Genomic DNA, 24,040 nt, shown 5'->3' on the forward strand with positions numbered 1-24,040 from the left:
CAACCATCATGACAAAAGTGCAGGAGGAAAATTCTTGACATTAGCAGACAGCATGCTCTGAAGCAAGTAAGAGAAGGATAATTCAATATAGTACTCGTCAGTGGGCGTCTGGTCCTGCCCATTTTTCCTGGCTCTGACATTTCATCATGCTGAGTGAGATTCCATTTCTAAACTTGGTGTCATTCATGCAACATGGCCCCAAGTATAGGACAACTACTTAATCTGTTGTTGCTCAAAGAAGGTGCAATGCATTACAATGCTAGAGAGAAAAGTGTTCATAGGAACCTAAAGAGACAGTGTGTTGACACCAACATGGGACCTCCCTAAGCAAGTTGCTGAGATTTGATTATGTGTGATTTCTGCCTTATGTGCCCACTTTGGATGTAACCCTGATGTCAGGTGTGGCTCTTGGAAACGACACTATTTTCTGTTGTGCAGGTATCATTGCTGCATCTTCCTCTGGTTGAGGACTTGTTACCTGGACTTTTGAATTATCTTCTTTGTACATGGGGGGATGGCAGTATTTCTCTGATTGTGATCTGTGAACTTGCCACAGGATCATCTTGGATCCTGGCTGAGTGTGGAATTTCCAGGCCCACATCTGACCTATCAGGGCTGGCCGTACAATCAGCATTTTAAATAGGCATCTTGGTATTTCCATGGGATTCTCTTGATCTCTATCCACCCTTAACATCCCATCCTACTTTCTGCTTGTTAAGACTCAGGATACTTCTGGGACTGCTCTATGGAATGGGTTCTTAGGAATTCTAAATGCATTTGCATTTCAAAGACTGATGAGAAAGGGACACCTGTCCAGGTAAGACAAGTCATCGGTTTCCAACTCCAGCAATAAGAACTTAGTTTATCAGATGTACTGTCTAACTAGTAGAGGTGTGTTCGCTGTCTTCATTAAAATGAAGCCAGGTTGATGTGACTAAATTTTGATTTGATTTGCTGCGTTTTATGTGGTGGCTTATACTTGAATGTCTCTATAATATCTCCCTGTGTATTTTAGAGAGTGTGAATTAAAACAGCTGCCTTGTACATTGTAAGTGTTCAAAAATAGTTTGTAAAGTGTTAGAATAAGGGCTTCATAGCCACAAGGAGGGTCTCAGAAGGTGATTTGGCTAGATTATAAAACACAAATATTAACTTTTGACTTGTTTATTCTTTATTTTTATTTGATTATTTATTTATTTATTTATTTTTTTATTTATTTATTTATGAGACAGAGTTTTGCTCTGTCGTCCAGGATAGAGTGCAGTGGCCCAATCTTGGCTCACTGCAACCTCTCCCTCCCAGGTTCAGGCGATTCTCCTGCCTCAGCTTCCAGAGTAGCTGGGATTACAGGTGCGTGCCATCACACCTAGCTAATTTTTGTATTTTTAGTAGAGAAGGGGTCGCACCATGTTGGCCAGGGTAGTCTTGAACTCCTGACCTCAGGTGATCCACCAACCTTGGCCTCCCAAAGTACTGGGATTACAGGCGTGAGCCACTGCACCTGCCGTTGACTTATTTATTTGTAAATTATCCTGTTCTCCACATATATACTTTTAAAAAGCACTTCAAAATTTCAGTGTGGTTATTCAATGGCCATCAAAGTTTGTTATTCTACCAGAATGGTCTTATCTTTTACAAGCGAGATCTAAGAAAGCACATACAGAGGCCTGAAAAGTTGATTTCCCTCCTTGGAGGAGTTCCTGATTTAACTTCATAAATCCACAAGAGCTGACATCTCTTCATGTCCAACCACAAAATGGGTAGAAAATGATGAAATGCAGAAGAGGCTTCTAAGTCTTGGTCTGCTTCTGTGATAGAACAGGAGAGAGGCAGCATTTTATTTTTACCATTATTAGCCAGCCTGTCAGTCACTTAAAATTTTTCCGTGAAGACACAAAGCTAAGTTTTGAATACTCTGTGTCACTGCTTCCAGCTGATATTATAAAAGGCAGTGGTGAGGATTTCAGCTAAAAAAAGATTCGTTGTTTCAAAAGCCCAGCCTGAAGTAAGACAGTGCCATAGACACGACCACACCAGAGGGCAGGTGGTTCACAAAGGGCCTTGCATTCTTCTTTGCTCTTGTTTACTTTACATGAGGGCAAGGAGTCTCAGAAGCGTAAGATATAATACTACACTAGACAGGCAAGCAGACCTAATGTGCAAAGTCTCATGTTGGCTATATAGGTAGTTTATATGTCAGTTCCAATTATGAATACATTCCTCAGCAACTAGAGTTTTCTCATTCATTCTTACTGAACTGTTAGGGCATGTGGCAGCCCAGAGCTCTGTCAAAATGAATTGTCCCCCTTGAAAAGTTGGCAATGCAAGGAAGTGACAACCTAATGCATGTTAGCACTCTTGATAACAGGACCCAGAGGAGACGGCGAAGCAACAATTGGATATGTGTCTGGGCACTGGCTGTTGTTCCTGCCTGGGTTCAAATCTCCTCTCTGCCGCTTATGATCTGTGTGCATTTACAAGTTTGTTAGCCCCCTTACCTCTTTGTTCCTTATAAGGTTGTCGTGCAAATTACATGAAATGATGTTACAGGTGTAAGCCAATGCCTGACACACATATGTATTCTACAGTAATCATTATCAAAGTGGTAAGCAGGAACCAGTGCCATTTCACAACTATCAGGTACTCTTCTGGGTACTCATCATGAAAGACTGCAGTGTTCCATTTACAGGCATTGGTTGGTGGTTTACTAAAGAGTGTGTTTTTGTCCAAGAAGTTCACTCACTACATTTTGCTCAACCAGTCCTCTCATTTGCAGCGATTTTTTTTTCTTTGAGCGTCCCTTGTTGTGCAGCATAAACATCTGGGCTGCATGGTCAGACCCATGAGGCTTCTCTTCCATCTGGCCACCTGTTATATAATTAAGCCTGATTGCAGATGCGATTCTCATTTAGCTGTCAGCAGCAGCCTGGGAGACTAGCAACTGAGGTGAATAAAGGTAGCTCACCACATCTACAAGGGTAGAAGGGCTGAAGCGAAGGGTTGACCAGCCAGGACAACAAAGGTTATTGCTTATGGCAGTGTCAGCCTAAGAGCTCAAGTTCAAGATCAGAAGCATGAGAGGGTAAGACCTCTAGGGGAGTCTGCATAGGTCCAGGTGAAACCCTGGGTGTCTCTTGATTGTCAGAGCATGTAAATGATTTTTCCGTGAGGATAGAATTTGACAGTCAGTGCTAGAAAGGGCTTCAGAGTTTGGTAAGTCTCTTTGGTGGACTGCATGGATAGATGTGAAAAGATAAACCAAATCAAAATGTATATTCCATTGAATCATGACAAATTCGCATTGGTAATGCGAATGATAGAATATTATAGGTTATGCTTAAGTGCTTTACCTGTGGAAGTTACTTATCAGAACTCCAAATTTTCAGGGGCATTTGCACAGCCAGTAATTGTGCAGGAGATCCAACTCACATCCACCTCAGCTTAACTGCCTCTTGATGCTTTCAAGCATTATGCTATTTATTTCAGTGTCTTATGTTTCAGAACTAAAGAAATGTTGAATTAAATTCCCCACTATATGCCGTCAGTGTTTCAGAAAAAAAAAAAAAAAAAAAGAAAAAGAAATGAGCAAGGCAGGTGGATTTCTGGCAAAGTTTTGTTTTCATTTCTGTCTGATAGAAATGGGAGCACTTCCTAAACCAAAAGAGCATTTTTTTTTTGGTAGAAATAGCCATTTATTAAAAACCATAAATCTGTTATGGCTGGTTGGTGAGCATACCTTACAGTTTAATTGTACCAAGTTGAAAGTGGACACATACCAGGATAGGCACACCTCATTGTTCCACATGTGGCTTCAGTGCTTTAATGTGAATTATAAGTACATAAGTAAAGTACATATTATTTATGCATATGTTGTATTTATGACCTTTGGGATGCATCAGAGGTTGCTTAGGCTCGTTGTTCTGGGTCTTTCAGGATCTAGATTTTCTATCCTGATTCTTCCTTTTTCTAAAAAAAAAAAAAAAAAAAAAAAAAAAAAGGCTCAGTTGAGGAACTCACTCAGCTCACTCAGTGCAATACTATAATGGGAAGAGTTCCATGATGCTGCCATTCCAGTTATAAAATGGCTTCTTTTAGTCATCGTACAAGCCAGCAGTTATGGACAGTGTTTCTCTAAATGTTAGTAATAAAGTGTAGCAGGTTTCATATCAGTATACTAATTCTACCAAAAGCCATTTTCAGTCCCATTGACATTTGAATTCTGCCCATGCAAATTAGTGGAACTTGCCATCACCCTTGGCCTATAATGCCCCATACCAAGCATCACCAGCCCAGTGCTTCTCAGTCTTGGCTGCAAATGATCGAGCTATAAAAATACTGCTACCTGGGACCTGCCCCTCAGTGCCTCTGATTTAACTAGTAAAATCAGAGGGAGGTTTGAGCATCAGGATTTCTAAACTTTCAGATTTTCAGTTGGGCGTGTAGTGGGGTGGGTTAGGGGGAGGTAATGTCTCCAAATGGAAATGTCTTTTTGGTTAAAATAAAGTAGAAAGACCAAATAAGTGATATTTGGGGAGAGCAATGAATATTCTAAAACCAATCAATGGGAATTGTCATTTTATGGTTCTCCTGAATGTGAGTGTCCAAAGTCCTCGTTATTCAAAGTGTGGTCCAAAGACCAGCCTCACTTGGTAACTGTTAGAAATGCAGACTGTTATGTTCCAGACACACCTACTGGATCAGAATGTGCACTTTACCACGACTTCCAGGTGATTTCATGTACTTTGAGTTAGAGAAGCACTGTCCTAGTCACAGTGATGAGGAGGGTGATAAGAGTGGCAGAATTCACTTTATTGAGCCTCTGCTATGTGTCAAGCACTATGCTAAGACATTTTTGTGACATACTTCTCCTTAAGTTGTTGCCGGAGTTAAATAAAGTGATATGTTTAAAACACTAAGTGTAGTATCCAATATCAGGTGTTCCAAAAAGGGCTTATCATCATCATCATCACGGTCATTGTCATTATCTTAAATCCATGGTCACCCTAGGACAGGAAGCATGAATCTAGTTTGTAAGTGCACGTGATCTCCTTTCCATGGGTGATATGGGTTGGCTGTGTCCCCACCCAAATCTCATCTTGAATTGTAGCTCCCATAATTCCTACGTGTTGTGGGAGGGACTTGATGGGAGATAGCCGAATCATGGGGGCTGTTTTCCCCATACTGTCCTCATGGTAGTAAGTTTCATGAGATCTGATGGTTTTGTAAGGGGTTTCCCTCTACGGTTGGTTCTCATTCTCTCTTGTCTGCCACCACATCAGATGCACCTTTCACCTTCCACCATGATTGTGAGGCCTCCCCAGCCACGTATAACTGTAAGTCCATTAAATCTATTTTTCTTTATAAATTACCAGTCTCAAGTATGTCTTTATTGCATCATGAAAGTAGACTAATACAGTGGGCCATGTGAGATGATGAGATTGTGACCTTACATTCAAAGATAACTAAGCTGTGGTGGCAATGGATGATTTGTTCTCCTGAAATCTTTAGGTGGCACGGGACAGAAATCCAAATAGAATTGGCGTTTGTCAAAAGTAGAATATATTGTACTTTAAAAATGTGAATGTCAGACATTTGGGGGTGGGGGGAGGGGGGAGGGATAGCATTAGGAGATATACCTAATGTAAATGACGAGTTAATGGGTGCAGCACACCAACATGGCATATGTATACATATGTAACAAACCTGCATATTGTGCACATGTACCCTAGAACTTAAAGTATAATAAATATATATATATATAAATGTGAATGTCATGTTTCTGAGATGGGTGTCAGGAATAGCTGAATCAAGGTGACCAAATGGCGATGCTCTAAGGAATGGGCCTTGCTGAATCTGTACACTCTGCTTTTCTTGGCGTCCACTTTATTTCATGTCATATTCTCTCCAAATAGTGGCAAGATGCTCACCCTCAACTCAGGACTGAGATCCTATCACTTTGTCTTGACCAGGAGAAAAAGAGCACCTCCTTTACAATCATGAAAGGTAACATCCCAGGGATAACTCTCAGGTACCCTGTGCACATCCCTGAGCCAGTTACTCAAGTCAGAAGCATGGATATTCTGATCAGGCAGGTTGGCTTCAAGGATGAATCAGGCCTCTCATGAACTACAAGCTACGGAGTTCTCTGAAACTGGAGAAGAGGTTCTTCTTCAAAGAAGTGCAGTGTGTAATGCCCACCTGAAGAGGGAAGGAATTTCCAGCAGGTGTAAGGGACTAATGTCCACTACAGGCCCTCAGTTAAAAGAGTTGGGTAGAAAGAGGTGGGGTGTGTGTATGTGCAGCCTGCATTGACTCTCCACTTGATGCTGTGTACATTCTGAGGGCAAAACCCTGAATTTTCCTTGGGTCTGCCGTAACAAATTCTCTCAATGGTGCCTCCATAGGGAGAAAGGGGCCAACATCTGGGGGTTCTTTCCTGGAACAGTGTTAAGTGCTTTCAGAGTTAACAAGTTTTATATTCAAACAACTCCATAAGATGAGTCTTTCAGACTTAATTTCTAAAACCGCAAAAAGTACTGTAGAGGAGTTCAGAGATACGTCTAAAGTCACAGTTAATCAAGAGGACTGGTAGGATTCCCAGCTCACTTCAAATTCATACTCCTGTATATTCCTCTTTATAAATAAGTCAGTGAGCAAATTATCTCATTAAAATGTAAGTCAGAGATTGCCAACTTCAGGCTCACAGGCAAATGGACTTTATAACTTGCAGATACAGTGGGGGTATTTTCATCTGTGTGTCTATATGTATGGATGTATTTACAAAATAACATTTTATGTAAGAATATGAATTTCTGGCTTGTCTTCATCTCTCCAGGATAAAAAATGGCTAAAGTTGAGTTGTGGTTGTCCTCTCCGGCATTGCACACTTTCTTCATTTCCCCCAGCATTCTTACCTGGCCAGTTTCTGTCATTTATAGAACCTGTTTGGTCCTGGAGATATTTGAGTTTGAAAATCCTGGAGTAATAGTACCCCATTATGTCACTCATGTACATGGTAGCCTATGCAATGTGTCATTCCATTCTTCTTTAACTGTTGCAAAACATGCCATGTGCTCTATCTGTATATCTCTCTCTGTTCTCACTGTCACATACCACACACACCCCACCCCACCCCCACACACACACACAGCAAGGGAGGAATTTGCGTTTGCTTTGCTCTTTTCTTTCCCTGCCCCCTCTCACTTAGCTCACTGCATAATCCTCCTCTCGTAACCTTCAACTCCACAATGCAGGAATTTTGCATGCTCTGTCCCCAACCGTATTAATAAAGCACTTAAAAGTATGCGATTTTATTCAGGGTTATTTATCTAACTGTCTCTACTGAAGTGGTACTTCTGCAGCTCTTCAGACGCAGTGGTTTCCCTGGGGGCAGCTTTCGGAGTCCGAAAGCATTGACTGAAATGCAAAGCCCGGATGCCAGCTGCACGCGCAAGCATTCCAAGCCCAGTCATTGTAGCCACTGGAGATGGGGGTGGGGGATTTGAGTGGATGGGTCCTTCCAGCGGGCATTTGGGTCATTTGGCCCGTCGCCCTGCCTGCAGGCTGGCCTGCACGCAGCACCTGGCCTAGGCACCCTGGAATCTCTCCCTTCCTGTGGCAGACACAGGAAACTCCTACCTCATCACGGCAGCTGCATGTGTGGGTAAGCCCACGGTGATGATGACTTCTGTACTGGCTGTTTTTACTCCTTGCTTTAATGATATTAGCTCACGTGGTTATCCTTTCCCTTCTAGCAGGATTTTTCCACAGCCAGACAATTCTTTGCGGTGAGGAGGCCACCCTGTGCTCTGTAGGATGTTTAGCAGTATCTCTGGCCTCAATCCACAGGATACCAGTAGCACCCACCCACCAGGTTGTGATGACCCGACTTTCTCCTGATACTGCCTGATATCCTCTGTGGGTGAATTTTCCTGGTTAAGAATCACTATCTTACAGGAAGGTGGCAAAGATGAGAGTATCAGACTGTAAGTTCCGCGAGAGCAGGCATTGTGTCTGGTTTGGTCGTGGTTGTGTGCCAACAGATAGTAGATTTTCAATACATATTTGTTGAATGAATGAATGAATGAATGAACTTCCGACTGATCAGAGCTGAGGACTATATTCATCCTCAAGGTAATATAATGATTATTATTCACATATTAGGAGGAAAATCAAGGGTTCCTTTTTATCTTCTCCTACTACCCCCCGCTGTCATTATCAAGTGAGTTCAACTAAGATTTGCTTAATGAAAACCTAAATCATTATGGCTCTCTTAATCAGAGTACCTACTATGTGGCTATTCTAAATAGGTGTTCTCATTGAACTTGGTTTTCTCAGTGATTCATAAAGATGGTTAATAGCAATGAAATTTTACAGATTGGGAAACTGAAAACCAGAGAAGTGAAGGAATTTGTCCATGGCCACACAGCCGTAAGGGAGTAGAGACCTGATTCAAATCTTGGGCTAGAAGGATTCTCAGAATCTTCTTTTCTCTTTGCACCTGATTGGCTGTGCCTCTCGCTTTATTCAGTCAAAGCTCAATTCAGGACGACGTGAAAGAACATTAATTCCAAGGTGAAATGTGCAAGAGGTTAAGTGAATTTGACCAAGTTTCCCATTATAATTTATTTTGGGGGAAAATGGATTAAAAACATAATCTCTCGGTTCTAACTTCACGTTCACTTGAAAATGAAAAGTGAGTGTTTTACAGATCCACAGCTTCACGTTATCTGTTGCATTTTGAGAGAGAAGAAGATGGATGCATTGGGGTAGAGAGTATAATAATATTACAAGGCTTTATATGGAAGGTCAAGTGAGGGGAAGATGAGCTGGAAGGATGGGGAATAGCAGGCTAAGAAAGAACAATGCATAACAGATGTATCTAAACTGTTTTTAAAAATGGTTAATAGACTCAAGGAGAAATATAAAGAAGGGAGCACTCTGAAAGGTCAGAACAAGTAGTCAAGTAAGAAGCAAAGTAATTTAAACATAAAAAGGAAAATCCGCAGATATTTCTTTCATGCTTCAGAAAGCGTCGGCCTTAAACATTGCAGTGTCCCAGTGATGCATTGCAATCTTCTGCAAGACACTGAAGTATTTTATGAAGGCATACTTTTTCCTCCTAAGTTGAGGAGACCCTGAGATGGCCCAAATTTCCTTTAAAAATGAAATGAAACTGCTCGGCTTTCCTTACATTAACCTTAAAGATAATGAAGTTTTGGTCCTTGCCCTATAAAGGATAGACAGAAAGGGCCTAGTCACATCTTCCTGTCATCTATGTAGATGATGTCCTTATTCAGAAGTCATTATATGAGAATATGAGTGTTATGGGAAGGCAGGAAGGAAGGAAGGGAAAGGAAAGGAGAGGAGAGGGAGGAAGGGAAGGAGAGAGAGAGGAAGGAAGGGAGGGAGGGGAAGGAGAAAGGGAGAGAGAGGAAGGAAGGAAGGAAGGAGAAGAAAGATGGAGGGAGGGAAGGGAAGGAAGGGAGAGAGAGGGAGGAAGGGCAAAGGAAGTAAGGGAGAGAGACGAAGGAAGAGGGGAAGGAAGGAAGGGAGAGAGAGGAAGCAAGGGAGGGAGGGGGAAGAAGGAAGGGAGAGAGAGGGAGGAAGGGAGAGAGAGGAAGGAAGGGAGAGAGAGGGAGGAAGGGAGAGAGAGGAAGGAAGGGAGAGAGAGGGAGGAAGGGAGAGAGAGGGAGGAAGGGAGAGAGAGGAAGGAAGGGAGAGAGAGGGAGGAAGGGAGAGAGAGGGAGGAAGGGAGAGAGAGGGAGGAAGGGAGAGAGAGGGAGGAAGGGAGAGAGAGGGAGGAAGGGAGAGAGAGGGAGGAAGGGAGAGAGAGGGAGGAAGGGAGAGAGAGGGAGGAAGAGGGGAAGGAAGGAAGGGAGAGAGAGGAAGGAAAGGAGAGAGAGGAAGGAAGGGAGGGAGGGGAAGGAAAGGGGAGGGAAAGAAGGAAGGGAGAGATGGAAAGGAGGGAAGGAAGGCCTCCTCATCCTTTTTTTCTGCGTTCGTTTACTCATTTCACTTTTTTTTTTAATTGGACATCTGTATATGTCAGTCACTGTGGAAGACATTTGGGAAATGATGACTAGTAAAAACCCAAACAAAATAAACAAACAGAAAGTACCTGCCGTCGTTGTCTAGTGGACAAGGCAAAACATCAATAATTCAATAATTACTCCGTGTGTTGGGGCAGGGTCTGTTTTCTTGCAGTCATGCCTCAGTTTTGGCTTAACATATCAGCTTCCATAGTTAACTTATTCATCTGCCTGCCTCTAAATCCCACAGATTTTGAGATGTAGATCAGCTTTGTCCTCTCAAGGGTTTCACATTCAGGAAAGGGCTGACCCATCAGGCATGATGAAGCACTGCTTGACAGATTCAGCCTCCCCAGTCAATGAAGGAAAGGAAAGGAAAGCAAGGTTCGTTTCATTTCCCAATCACGTGATGGCATTGGGCACTACCACTAGCTTCTGATGCATTCATTCTGGAACTTGTTTGTGAAAATCAGTTGAGATACTAAATATAGAAGGGGAGAGCCACTTGGAGTTGAAAGTGACCTTTAAGGCCACTTCTGTCAACTTAGCACCAAATGCATGAATTTACACAACTGAATTTCTGCTCTTCGGACATAAACTTTCCCCATTCTTTTTTGGTCAGTTTGTTTTTACCCTGCAGAGCTGATACTGCAGAGGGCAGCTCATTTTATTCCTGGACTATAGTTCCTCATTTTGTAGAAATCAACTTTGTCTTCCCAAGGTTACTGGTGTTAATTTTACCTTCTGATGTTAGGTAACCAGTCACTGGTTTCCGAAGCTGGGTCTGAGTCCCAGAATTCACATTGATCAGCCATGGTACCTGAACAAGCACCTCTAGCCCCCTGAGCATCAGGGATCTTTCCATTAAGTGGAGAGTATCCTCCAGAATCTACCTCTCCAGAATTCAGGGTAAGATAAGTATGGTTGTTTGGATCAGATAGGTTTTGTCTCCATGGTAGACAAGAGACCACTATAGCTTAAAACTCCCATTCTGCCAACAGAACAACCGAAAGAGCTAGAATACGCTTGTTTATGTGTTTGTTTTCTGGTAGCTGGGCAAAGAAATAAGGGAGGGCTTGGCTGGTTTGTCTTGTACCATGTGTTTATCCTTAAACCAATCAGAATGAATCAGGAATCGACTACTATCGTTCACGTGACTAAACTGGAGTATTAGAGAATCAGCAGGGTTCATGATGAGGGAGTATAGCTGTGTTCACTGCAACACAGCTCCTAAGAGCAAACAGTTTAATCAGCTCATTTATCATCCTAACCAAACTTTTAAAAGGCAGTTCCTCGGGAAGTTAAGCATAGAATTACCATATGACCCAGCAAACCCATTCCCAGTTAGATGCCTAAAGGAAAGAATTGTAAACAGATTCACTTGAATCCACATACACAAATGCTTATAACATCACCATTCATTACAGCCAAAAAGCAAAGACAACCCAAATGCCTATCAATAAATTTATCAATAAATAAATGGATGAACAAAATGTGGTCTATCCATACAATGAAATATCATTGAGCCATAAAAAGGAAGGAGCTACTGTTACATGCTACAACGTGGATGGACCTCAAAAACACTGTGGTAAGTAAAAGAACCCAGAATCAAAAGACCACAGATTATGTGATTTCCTTCACCTGAAATATCTGGAGTAGGTAAATCCACACCAACAGAAAGCAGATTGGTGGTTGCTACAGGCTAGGAGGAAGGGGTTGGGGAATAACCATTAAATAGGTACAGATTTTGTTTCGGAATGGAATGATGACGTATTTTGGAACTAGATAGGGGTGGTGGTTGCATAACATTTGTGAATGAACAAAATGCCACTGAATTGTTTCCTTTTTTTTTTGAGACAGAGTCTCGGTCTGTCACCCAGGCTAGATTGCAGTGGCACAATCGGCTCACTGCAAATTCCACCTCCTAGGTTCAAGCGATTCTCCTGCTTCAGCCTCCTGAGTAGCTGAGACTACAGGTACATACCACCAGGCCCAACTAATTTTTGTATTTTTATGAGAGACGGGGTTTCACCATGTTGGCCAGGCTGGTCATGAACTCCTGAAAACTGTTTACTTTAAATGGTTAACAACCACCACAACAAAAACCATGGAGACCAAGGGAGAAAACTTAAGTGAGATATATAACTTGCTTGAGCTATGTGTTCATTTTATAAAATGGGCAAAAGATGCCTATGTCTTTAGGTTATAACAAGCTTCAAACAAGTGAATATTTATAGGGGACCAGGTTCCTGGCAACTATTAGGTGCTCAATAAATAGCCTGCATGCAAATACCTCCCCACACACATATGCCCACTTGTACCCACGTAATTCTTATTTAATGGTGTTCTTTTAAAGAATGAGATAACAGGCCAGGCATAAGCGGCTCATGCCTGTAATCCCAGCGCTTTGGGAGGCCGAAGCGGGTGGATCACCTGAGGTTGGGAGTTCGAGAACAGCCTGACCAACATGGAGAAACCCTGTCTCTACTAAAAATGCAAAATTAGCTGGGTGTGGTGGTGCATGCCTGTAGTCCCAGCTACTGAGAAGGCTGAGGCAGGAGAATTGCTTGAACCTGGGAGGGGGAGGTTGCCGTGAGCTGAGATCACGCCATTGGTCATTACACTCCAGCCTGGACAACAAGAGTGAAACTTCATCTCTTAATTAAAAAAAAAAAAAAAAAGAATGAGGTAACAGAAACAAAGAACTTACCTAGCACATGATGTTAGCAAACCCTGTCAAATTTGTATTCCCATATTTCTCAAAACTTGTTCTTCTTTCCCTCTCCACACCGGTGATTGTTGTCACCCTGCTTTCCTGGACTGCTAAAATAGGCTACATTTCCCTTTTCAATCCCTTTTGCTTGCTCTTGATGTTCCCAACAGCGGCCAAAGAACCCATCTCACAATGTACATAGGATGCTTTCCCTTCCCAGTTAAAAACCCCACTGTACTTAGAGTTAATCCCAACCACCTTCATATAAAGCCCTGGAAGTCTGGCTCCTGCCAACCTTGCTAAACTCATCCTTTTTTTTTTTTTTTCCTGATTCTTATCCCATTGACTTTGACTGTTTCTAAGCTGGCTCTATCCCAAGTGAAAAGTCACCTCTTCAAAGACCTTTTCTATTTAAAAGAATTATCCCAGCTCTTCTATATTCTTTTCCATGACATGTTATTCACGTGCTTCCAAGTCCTGATCACCATTTGTAATTTTAAACATTGAGTTGCTTTTCCTTGCTCTTTCTCTTATTCATGAAGGCAGCTCTGCTGTTGAACACAATACATGGTAGACAGCAGGCCGTCGATCAGCACTTGTTAAATGAGATCAATGTGTGGAAATTATTATTAAAGTCCTGAAAATTTTACAAAGTCTATTTTGCTCTAATGTGTACATTGGTGGTATAGTCTGGGGAATACATGTATAGTTTGCATTGTGGACATCCGATTGTTTCCCTGGATGCTGCCCTTTCAACAAGAAATGCGACCTTAGCAAAAGATGGGGGCCCCATGAACTTCCAACTCGTCTTTTATTTATGGTATATGTGTCAGAGAAACATAACAACATTTGGGAATTTATTAAATGGCAGTTTTCTCTTCAAATTCTTGCTCTAGTTTATTGTGCCTAATGGAGTCTTACTAAGGGCAAAGCTAATTGACAACAAGGTTTATTTCTGCCGATCTTAGCCAAAAAGTCAATCACCACTCAACGAGAGCTACTCTGACTCTTTGGCCAATGGACAAATTTCCATCTTGACTGGCTTGACTGGTCCTGGGAGAATAGAAGTGAATGAGCTTAATTCTATTTTGATACTTTTCATTTTCAGCAAAACTGAGACAACATCAAGGAGTTACATTATCATGAGAAGAGAGGGGTTGCATGGAAATTATGTCACAAGAATGCTTGGTCAATTTTCATTGCATTCAGCTCTATTCACAAAGGCCTGTTTTGCTGGCAGACGCTTTTGTCAGATATGTGGCTCACGGCAGGCAATCAAGCTGTGGCATGTTGCAGAGGGACAGTGAGGGCTCACATGCTGGAGGCAGAGGTTACTCAGGCCAGGTAATGAATAACCCCACTGGAAGAGCAAAAGAGCTCATTTCTCAGTGGTTTATCTTCCAGTGGGTTGGTGTTGTGTATAATACAGTGAGTTGAGATGAGGAATCTATTTGGTTTTGGTTCCACCCCTTTGCCAGCAAAACCACAAAGTGGGAAAAGCTAACCTTTGGGAGGTAAAAGCTAACAGTGCAAGATGCCATCAATAAAATAAGCTCCCTCATCAGTGAAGAAGGGGGAACCAGGCTCAAAGTTTGTCTTCTACCAGGAATATAAGCATCGTGTCCTGGATAGTATGAAGCATTTAACCATGAAGTCTTCTGTTGCAAATGACATGTGTATACATATGTGTGTGTGTGTGTGTGTGTATATATATGTTTGTATGTGCTTGTGTATATGTGTGTGTTTGTGTGTATGTATATATGTATACATATTTTATATATATATGTATATATATATGTTATATATATAAGTTGCTTTCACCAAATCCTTGTAAATACCCTGTGCTGAACGGAGAAGTCAGAAATGGGTAATAGACTACATTCAAACTCATTTTCAATTTCCAAAAATATGCAAGGCACCCCATTTTTGGTACGTGGATGTTTTTTAGCATTTAATGGATAACAATTTTGTATGTCCCATAAGAATTATTCACAGACATCTCCCAATTCCATTTTCAGAGACTTACTGTAGACTTGCTTTTATGCCTGTAGCTTGGATCCAAGAAATTTATTTCTACCTCTGCAGTCCAAAAAACGGAATGTCTAACGATTTTTTGCAAGGCAAGTCGAAGTGCTATGGTGGAATTCTTCTTAGCAAGACAAGCTTCAGTGGAAGGAAGAATGTAAAACAGAAAAAGTTCTTTAAGAGGTATATAAATCTACACATCGGTAGTAGTCACACTAATAATAAACATTCATTTGGCATCATATATTTTTAAAGTGCTTTAAAATGTTGACATTCCTTAGAAAGGAGAGAATAGCTCTGGGATGAGGATTTTTATTTTACATTTCAGGGATGGGTTACACAGAAAGAAAGCCACTTGTTCATTATTGACTAAGTGTGGCAACCAGTGTGACCATTCCCTAGTGGTATTTTTGGCTCTTGGCTTAGAACAGGGTATGTATCCAGGAGGCAAGAGAATGAGTAAGTGACCTACTGTACTGAAAAGAACAGACAGAGATGTAGTCACAAACCAGTTTAGATGAGGGACCTTTGTTTGTAAGATGTAAACATCGTAAACAAGGAGATGCTGGTAGTTTTTGACATTTTATGGGCCCCCGTAGCTTCATCGCTTATGTACATTGAATGGATGTATGTTGTGATGGAAAGGCAGTGGCTGCGTTTGCCCTTTCAATTGATGGGCAGCCATATCTTGGGATGAATTAGCCTTTTGTGGGATGAATATGATGCCTCCCTCTGCCATGACATCAAGAATATCCTCTTTGAGGGTTGGAGAGAAGTTGTCTCTTTTTTCCTGCCTTGCAATTTATATATTAAGGGTTGACCAAAAATTGTTAAAAATGTTTAAAGCTAAGTAATATCCTGTGCTAGCCTGAACTAAAAAATAATGCCTTATTCTGACAATTCCAGTTTTTACAGTTGAAGGCTATTAATCAATGAAGCAGTGTGGATCCATATAAATATTGATCACTGTCTCCTTGCCCTCCTGTGAATGTTCTCTCTTAATGACAGCCAATTTCAATATTCATTAGAAAGGGTGCATTTTCTGGCTTGCACCATTGCTGATTAGTAACTAGAGAGATTTAACTAGACCATGGTCATTTTGTATAAATAGTTCCTCAGATCAAAAAGATCCTGGTTATTGTCTATCTGGACTTAGCTTACCTCTTCAACATTTCAGAAATTAGAGTGTTTTCTTGTTTGTGTCATATCCTGCTCACCTAAACATTGCTACTGTTAAGCATTAATCTTCTCATATTTAATATATAAAAATCAAAGTAAATATTCAAGAGTTATATTTAGATCTGTAAAGGGAAGCCCAAGTGCTTTGTATGAGGTGCGAACTAGGGTTAATAGGATGTATTTAACACCATATTGTTTCAGCTCAAGTTAGGGAGAGAAGGAGATCATGTATGCAAAAAGTAGAACATTTCTCCCCTTCCTATTTTGTCTAGAGGGGCGTACCCTCTTTTAAGGTATTGTCACATGCACAACATCTGGCCTTCAGTTCTCCTCTCCGCTGTCATGCAATCTGGCAGAATCTCTTTCTGCTCCATGGTTCCTAAATGCATCCATCCCATTGCCATTAGGATTCTACTTTTGGCATTTTCCCCATCTGTTTTGGTAATTACTGTCAGATGAACTGATATCTCTAAGTTGAAAATGGCCACCTTTTAAGGTAGCACATTGTAGTCAACTTCCCAAATCATGAAGTCTATGTGGCTTTTAGTAGTTGTTTGCAGAAGTAATTTAGTAACTTTACTTTTTCTTTTTTTTTTAATTTCTAAGCCACTGCAAGCACGCACCAGCCTTCAGTGGCCTGAATTATTCAGCAGTCATTAAAAATGCAGTCAGTGATAAGGCAGACAGTCCTTGTGCCTGGGTTTGTCAACATATCTTGTCCTCAGCAAAGACTAGGTTCACTGGAAGCACGCAGGATTTAGTTCACCTTCTCTAGAATGGCTGTTGTTGGGAGGATTTCTAGCAACATTACTATAAATGATCTGCCTGCCTCTGTGTTGTGGTTTATAAACTCTGTGTAACTAGGATAAGCTGGCTTTGGAAGAGGCAAGCCGTTCTTTCACTAGAAGGGAGAGGTTATTGCATCACCCATCAGCAAGAGAGGAATTCAGGAGAGGTAGAGAGCTGTGTGGGGTTTGGGTGGCAGCCAGCTACTTTCCAAAACTTCCCAGGGGCTGCAATACAGCCGCCAACCCAAATGTCATTGGGATAGGCCAGCGTGCCAGATGCCATCACAGAAAATAACTTCCCTTGCCTGGCATCTGGGTTCTTGCCTTGTAATCCAGAAGACCACATGCTGGATCAGCTGGTCCCAGCGGGGACCATGAGCTCTTCCGTCCTCTCTCCCTCCCTGTCTGCTGAGCATTTGAATGAGTCATCAGAGTGCAGAATGGATTTTGGCCATGCCCTTAATTGAGTGTTCTGTACATACAATAATAATTAATAATAATTTGAACTGATCCTTCTATAGTTTTGTCTCTGGACCAGGCACTGCTCTAAAGGCTGCACAGATTGTAACTCATTTACATATGTAACACATATCTACATATCTCATTAGCCTGAAGCACAATAGAATGAGAAAAGTGAAAAGCAAAGTGCTTAGACTCTAGATTTGGACCAACTGGCTTCCTATGTCAACTCTGCCTCTTTCAGTATAGGTGACTTTAGAAAGTAAATTCTGCTTTCTCAAGCCAAGCGTCCATGCACAGACAAGGGAATAAACAAAACGTGGTGTATACTGGAATATTATTCAGCCTTAGAAATGAAGGAGATTCTGGCCGACTGTGTGGTGGCTCTAGCCTGCAATCCCAACACTTTGGGAGGGTGAGGCGGACAGATCACTTGAGGTCAGGGGTTTGAGACCAGCATGGCCAACGTGGTGAAAACTCAACTACTCAAAATAGAAAAATTAGCTGGACATGGTGGCACACACCTGTGAAGCCAGCTACTCAGGAGGCTGAAGCATGAGAATTGCTTGAACCCTGGAGATGGAGGTTACAGTGAGCCCACGTCGCGTCCCTGCACGCAAGCCTAGGCAAGAAAGCAAGACCCTGTCTCAAAAAAAGAAAAGAGATGCTGATACATGCTACAACATAGATGAACCTTGAGGACATTATTCTAAGTGAAATGAGCTTGTCACAAAAGAACAAATATTGCATGATTCCACTTATATGAGGTGCCCATAGTTGTCAAATTCACAAAGACAAAAAGTGGCATGGTCGTTACCAAGGGCTGGGAGAAAAGAGGAATGGTGAGTTAGTGTTTAATTGGTACAGAGTTTCAGTTTTGCAAGATGAAAAGAGTTCTGGAGATGAATGTTGGGAATGGCTGTGCAACACTGTGAATGTACTTAACACTACTCAACTGCAGACTTAAAATGGTAAAAAAAAAATAAATAAATAAAATAAAAATTAAAAGAAGAAGTAAATTCTGCTTTCTGCACATCTGCCAGCTGCCCTTGTCTAAGTTCCCAAAACAGATTCTGCTTTTTGCTTCCACAGAGCCTTTGCATGGTTGTTTCCCCTTCCTGCAATATTTACTTAGTACTTTTTCCTAGGTTACTCTCCTCATCTTTCCAACCTTGGGCTACACACGCACCTTTAGGAAAGCCTACTTCTGTGTTCTTCCCATCTTGTGTACGTTCCAAATTCTGAATCTCCAATAAAATGAATATGCATTTCTTTCTCTCTTTTTTTGTAACTTTTATTTTATCTTCAGGGGTACAAGTGCAGGCTTGTTACATAGGTAAACTTGTGTGTCATGGGGGTTTGTTGTGCAGATTATTTCATCACCCAGGTGTTAAACCTAGTACCCATTACTTGTTTCTCCCGATCCTGTCCCTCCCCTGACCTCCACCTGCCAAGAGACCCCAGTGTGTGTTGTTCCCCTCTATGTGTCCACGTGTTTTTATCATTTAGCTCCCACTTATACGTGAGAACATGCAGTGTTTGGTTTTATGTTCCTTTGTTAGTTTGCTGAGAATGAGAGCCTCCAGTTTCATCCATGTTCCTGCAAAGGACATGATCTTGTTCTTTTTTATGGCTGCATAGCACCCCACAGTATACATGTACCACACTTTCTTTATCCAGTCTATCATTGATGGGCATTTAGGTTGATTCCACATCCTTGCTATTGTGAATAGTGCTGCATTGAATATACACATGCATGTCTTTTTATTATCATTTTCTCCTTTGCCTTTCCTAAACCATGCAGTTTGATATATGATGAGGCTACTTCTACCATTGATGTAGGTACTGTGGGTGCCAGGATGCCCAGGAAAAGGTGGAATCAGCCAGTAATCCCAGCAATTTAGGAGGCCAAGGAGGGTAGATCATTTGAGGTCAGGAGTTTGAGACCAGCCTGGACAACATGGTGAAATCCCATGTCTACTAAAAGTACAAAAATTAGCCAGGCGTGGTGGTGCATGCCTGTAATCCCAGTTACTTGGGAGTCTAAGGCACCAGAATTGCTTAAACCTGGGAGCTGGAGGTTTCAGTGAGCCTAGATCGTGCCACTGCACTCCAGCCTGGGCAACAGAGCAAGACTGTCTAAAAAATAAATAAATAAATAAAAATTGGAATCGGCTGGGATGATACCTCAACAAGTGAAATTGTCCTGTCAAGACCATTTGCATGTGTGAAAGAATAAAAGAAAAACAGAAAACACTGAGCTTCTCTGAGGCTTTATTGCCCCCTGATAAGACCGTGAGAACTCATTTGTCTTATATTAGATGATTATTTTACTCTTCTGGGTCTTTGATCTAGGCAGTTAGCTGGTTAGAATTTGCTGATGTTGTATTCATGTTTCTTTGAATCAGCAGTAACTCACTTAGGGATGAAAATGGGGCATTTGGCTTATAAGAAGAAAACAAATATCATTTATATTCATTTTTCTACTTGAAACTACTACTTGAAAACTGGGCCCATAGAGTTCGTTGTGCTAAAAGGAACATTTCTCATTGGTAGTTAGTATTTCAATTGTAATCAAATTCCAAAACTTCCTACCTGTTGAAACTATAAGATGATGGTGACGATTATTTGAGACTGAGCCTAGCTCTGTCGCCCAGGCTGGAGTGCAATGCTGCAATGTCTGCTCACTAGAACATTTGTCTCCTGAGTTCAAGCGATTCTCCTGCCTCAGACTCTTGAGTAGCTGGGATTACGGGCACCCGCCACCACGCCTGGCTAATTTTTGTATTTTCAGTAGCGAAAGGGTTTCACCATGTTGGCCAAGCTGGTCTTGAACTCCTGACCTCAGGTGATCCTCCCGCCTCGGCCTCCCAAACTGCTGGGATTACAGGTATGAGCCGATGCATCCTGCCGAATCTATAAGATTTAAGGATAATAATAATGAATGTTTACGGAGCAGTGTTCATCAGGTAGTGTTCTAAGTACTTTACATATATTAATGATCTTCACTATGTTATACTTGTATATCACCATCTGTGATCATCTGAAGCCCTTACAGTTTAAGGGAAAATCTGCATTTGATACATATAGTGTGTGTTAAAGAAACATGTTAAAGATGAAGGAGGAGTATGTTATTTTATTGTATTGATTTCTGTTTCTAAATACTGGGGTTTTCGTGGTGTTTTTTGTTTGTTTGTTTGTTTTTGTTTGTTTGTTTTGAGACAGGGTCTCACTTTGTCACCCAGGCTGGAGTACAGTGGTATGATCACAGCTCACTGCAGCCTTGACCTTCTGGGCTCAAGTGATCCTCCCATCTCAGTCTCCTGAGTAGCTAGGACTAGAGGCATTCACCACCACACCTGGCTAATTTTTGTAGTTTTGTTTGTTTGTTTGTTTGTGGAGATGGGGTTTTGCCATGTTGCCCAGGCTGGTCTCAAACTCCTGGACTGAAGCGATCCACCTGCCTCAGCCTTCCAAAGTTCTAGGATTACAGGCGTGAGCCGCTGCACCTGGCAAAATATTGTTTTTTGAAACTCTTCTTGAAGTACTAATGTTGCTTTAGATCTTAAACAGCAGCACAAAAAGTTTCTAACTTTGTTGGAACATTCTACTTTTCCCCCACACCTTCCCAAACAATTCTCTTAATATACAACAATATCTGTTCTGGCTATCGTGAAAATTAAGCCACTGGATTTGGGTTGGAAAAGAAGGTTTATTTAGCGCAGTTTTTAGTATTTATATCAGATTGCCATTTCTGGCTTGAGACCCGAGGCAGAAGTATCCCCTGCATTTGGAAAATGAAAAATCCACTGGAGGATTGATTATTCATAACCCTGAAATGTATTGCCCCACCTCTACCATAAATCACACGGAGTTTTTATTCTCATTAGCTGAATTCTGGCATCTCAGTCTCGGCACTACTATTTATTCTAATTCTCTCAGCTTGAGTAATGGGTGTGGCCCAAGCAGGAAGCAGGTCACCTCCTGGCCCGTTGGACTATCTTGGAAAGAGCATGTGATTCCCTGTAGGATTAGGGGATTTGCAGTTCAATGGGCAAATTATGCATTCCAACGTCTAAGTGTGGTTGTTTAATTAAACCCTTTGGTTCATTCAAGATGACTAAAATGTTTCTTGAAACAGGACATCTTGAAAGTTATTAAAATTTCACAGCAAACACTTTTATGGCAGGAACTTTTATGAATTTTGTTTGGGTTGGGGCATTGCAAGAGGGTTACTTAAAATGTTTTATCTGGAATTTATAATAAAGAAAAAACATTTCTTCTTTATGTTGGTCATATTTTCAGTAAGAGTGCATTACAAAAAATCTACATCTGGATGACAAATGTGATACAAATGGACAAATATATATGCATATACACAAACACACACACATGCCCATTTTCTCATCCCCCCTTCTTTTTCTCTTTCAATCTGTCTATAAATGTAGATACTCACATATACATATATGTTTATACATATATTAAATATGTAAATATGTATATAAGTATATATGCATATAAATATACTTATATGTGATTTGTGTATACATAATTACATGAGTGCATATATACCTAAATATGTATATCTGCATATGCGTGTGTATATATTTAAGGGTTTTCAACTTTGGCCCTCTTGATACTTTGGATTGGTAATCCCTTTTTTTGTGCAGTGTCCCTGACCACTAGATGCTATTACCATAGGCACCTCAGTGATAACAATAATTGAAAAGTCACCAGGAATTTCCAAATTTTCCTTCTGTTGAGAACCCCTGCTTATTGCTTGGCACACATGCGCACAGAGAAACCCATATATGTGTAGGTCATGCACTTACTGTAAGAGACATGGAAACTACTGTCTCCTAGTTTATCCCCAAAGGACTGACAAGAGTGTTCACTGAAAATTCAGAGACAGGGTTGCATGTAAATGTCTGAATAAAACACATGGAAAAATAAATAATAGGCATGACATATCATCATTGGAAAGGAAGGTACCTTCTGATGCAGACAGGTTGTGCCACATGACAGCTGTGTGAGCTTGGGCAAGAAACTAGATCTCTCTGAGCTTTAGTTCTTTTATGTTTGAAATGGGCAACATCATGATTATTTTTCACCACTTGTTGAATTTATAGATACAGTGTACCTCCCCCTGCATCCTCATTACACATTGACTAAGGAAATGGAATGGTCTGGAACACGTGGCAACTTGGACATGGGGAGGTCTCTTCGCCATTGGCTGAGAGTAAGCTGAACAAACTTTCCATGGTGACAGCTGCAGGATGCTCAGCATGCAGTCAATTCAGTCCAACATCCGTGCTTCGTGATTTGCATCCATGTGACTTGAAGCAGCCAGTTGGACCAGGTTTCTGATTGAGTGGCCACGTGCATGATGGGTTGGGTTGGACTAACTAGTTGTCTGCAAGAACTGGCTAAACGGCTCAGCCAAATTTTCTGTTTGTTGATTCAGACCCGACTGACTTTGCCAGGTTTGGACTGTGCTGGTGAGAGAGATATGGAGTCTGCGGACAGTTTGCAAGCAGTGCCTCTCGACATTTTCATCCTGCATATGGGGCTGTGTCGGCCTTACCTGTCTACCTTCTTTATCTTCTTCCTTCATTTGTTCTCTTCCTCCTCCTCCTCTTGTTTTTGTTACTTGGATTTTCAGGATGTCAAGCCCTGGCATTTTTAATATAAATTGGTAATATAATAATATATTCCCTTTATTCTTTGTCATTAGCTGAACGTTTTAGGAATATCAATATAGAATACATTTGAATGTTTTCATTAAAATTGTAACACACCCAGTATTAAATCAGAAAGTGAATGTTCAGCAAACACATATTGATCTCTTGCTACGTGCCAACAACTACTCCAAGCACTTGGCATGAATGTACCACATTTATTCTCCAAACCAGCCTATAGGCGTGGTCAGGGTGTGCCACGTGACAGCTGTGTGACCTTAGGCCAGCAACTAGACTTCTCTGACCTTTAGTTCTTTTATGTATGAGATGAAGAGACATCATGGTCACTTTGTAAAATTTATTCCAAAACAAAAAGATGTGGAAGAAAGGCATATTACCTTTGGTTGACATTATCTTTGTTTGTAGGTGAAGAAACTGAGGCTTAAAAAATTCACATATGTTGTGGCTAAGCAGAAGGGCTCCCCAGGAAGTTGACCCCTTACTCTTTATTAGTAGTAGTATTAATACATTTTGAGAGAGGCTGTCACTCTGTCACCCAGGCTGTAATGCAGTGGCATGATAATAGCTCACTATAGCCTCAAATTCTGGGGCTCAAGTGATCCTCCCAGCTCAGCCTCCCAAGTAGCTGGGTTACAGGCGTGCATCATCACATCCAGCTAATTTTATTATTCTTTTTGGTGGAGACAGGGTTTCGCTGTGCTTCCCAGACTGGTCTTGAACTTTTAGGCTCAAGTGATCCTCCTTGCCTAGCCTCCCAAAGTGCTGGTATTAGAGGTATGAGCCACTGCATCCTACCCCTTATTCTTTGTTCTTAATGATTATGTTATAATCTGGGATTTCACATAATCAAAACTCTTAATTTCTAATGGATTTAAGAGATTCATTAAACCTCTGAAGTCACATACAAAACTCGATAACTAACATACATTTCTTTTTTCCTGGAGAGAATGTTCATAGCTTTTAAATCAATATCTCAAAATGATCTTTGTTTTCACAGCAAGATTAAAGATAATCATTATGTAATAAAACTTTTATTTTCTGTTTCTTAGGTCAGTCTACAGCTCAATCTTAAACAGCAGTATTGTCATCAAAGGGTAACTCCAGAGAAAAAAAATCAGAGTAAATAAACATTTATAATAATATATC

The 24,040-nt window shown here is 41.2% G+C and overlaps 1 protein-coding gene across 30 annotated transcripts in view, besides 1 other annotated feature; it reads left to right on the top strand.

Moving 5' to 3' along the window:
• RBFOX1 (RNA binding fox-1 homolog 1) overlaps positions 1-24,040 on the top strand; it is a 2,473,620-nt gene that overhangs the window by 1,980,439 nt on the left and 469,141 nt on the right. The gene's annotated exons all lie outside the window — the stretch shown is intronic.
• Positions 7,289-7,583: a silencer, noted in NCBI's record as "tiled region #8564; K562 Repressive non-DNase unmatched - State 24:Quies". NCBI's record gives its function as "represses a minimal TATA promoter and a strong SV40 promoter by Sharpr-MPRA in K562 cells {active_cell/tissue: K562}" and the evidence as "EXISTENCE:reporter gene assay evidence [ECO:0000049][PMID:27701403]".

Source organism: Homo sapiens, chromosome 16, assembly GCF_000001405.40.
Source record: "Homo sapiens chromosome 16, GRCh38.p14 Primary Assembly".
NCBI classification, from domain to species: domain Eukaryota; kingdom Metazoa; phylum Chordata; class Mammalia; order Primates; family Hominidae; genus Homo; species Homo sapiens.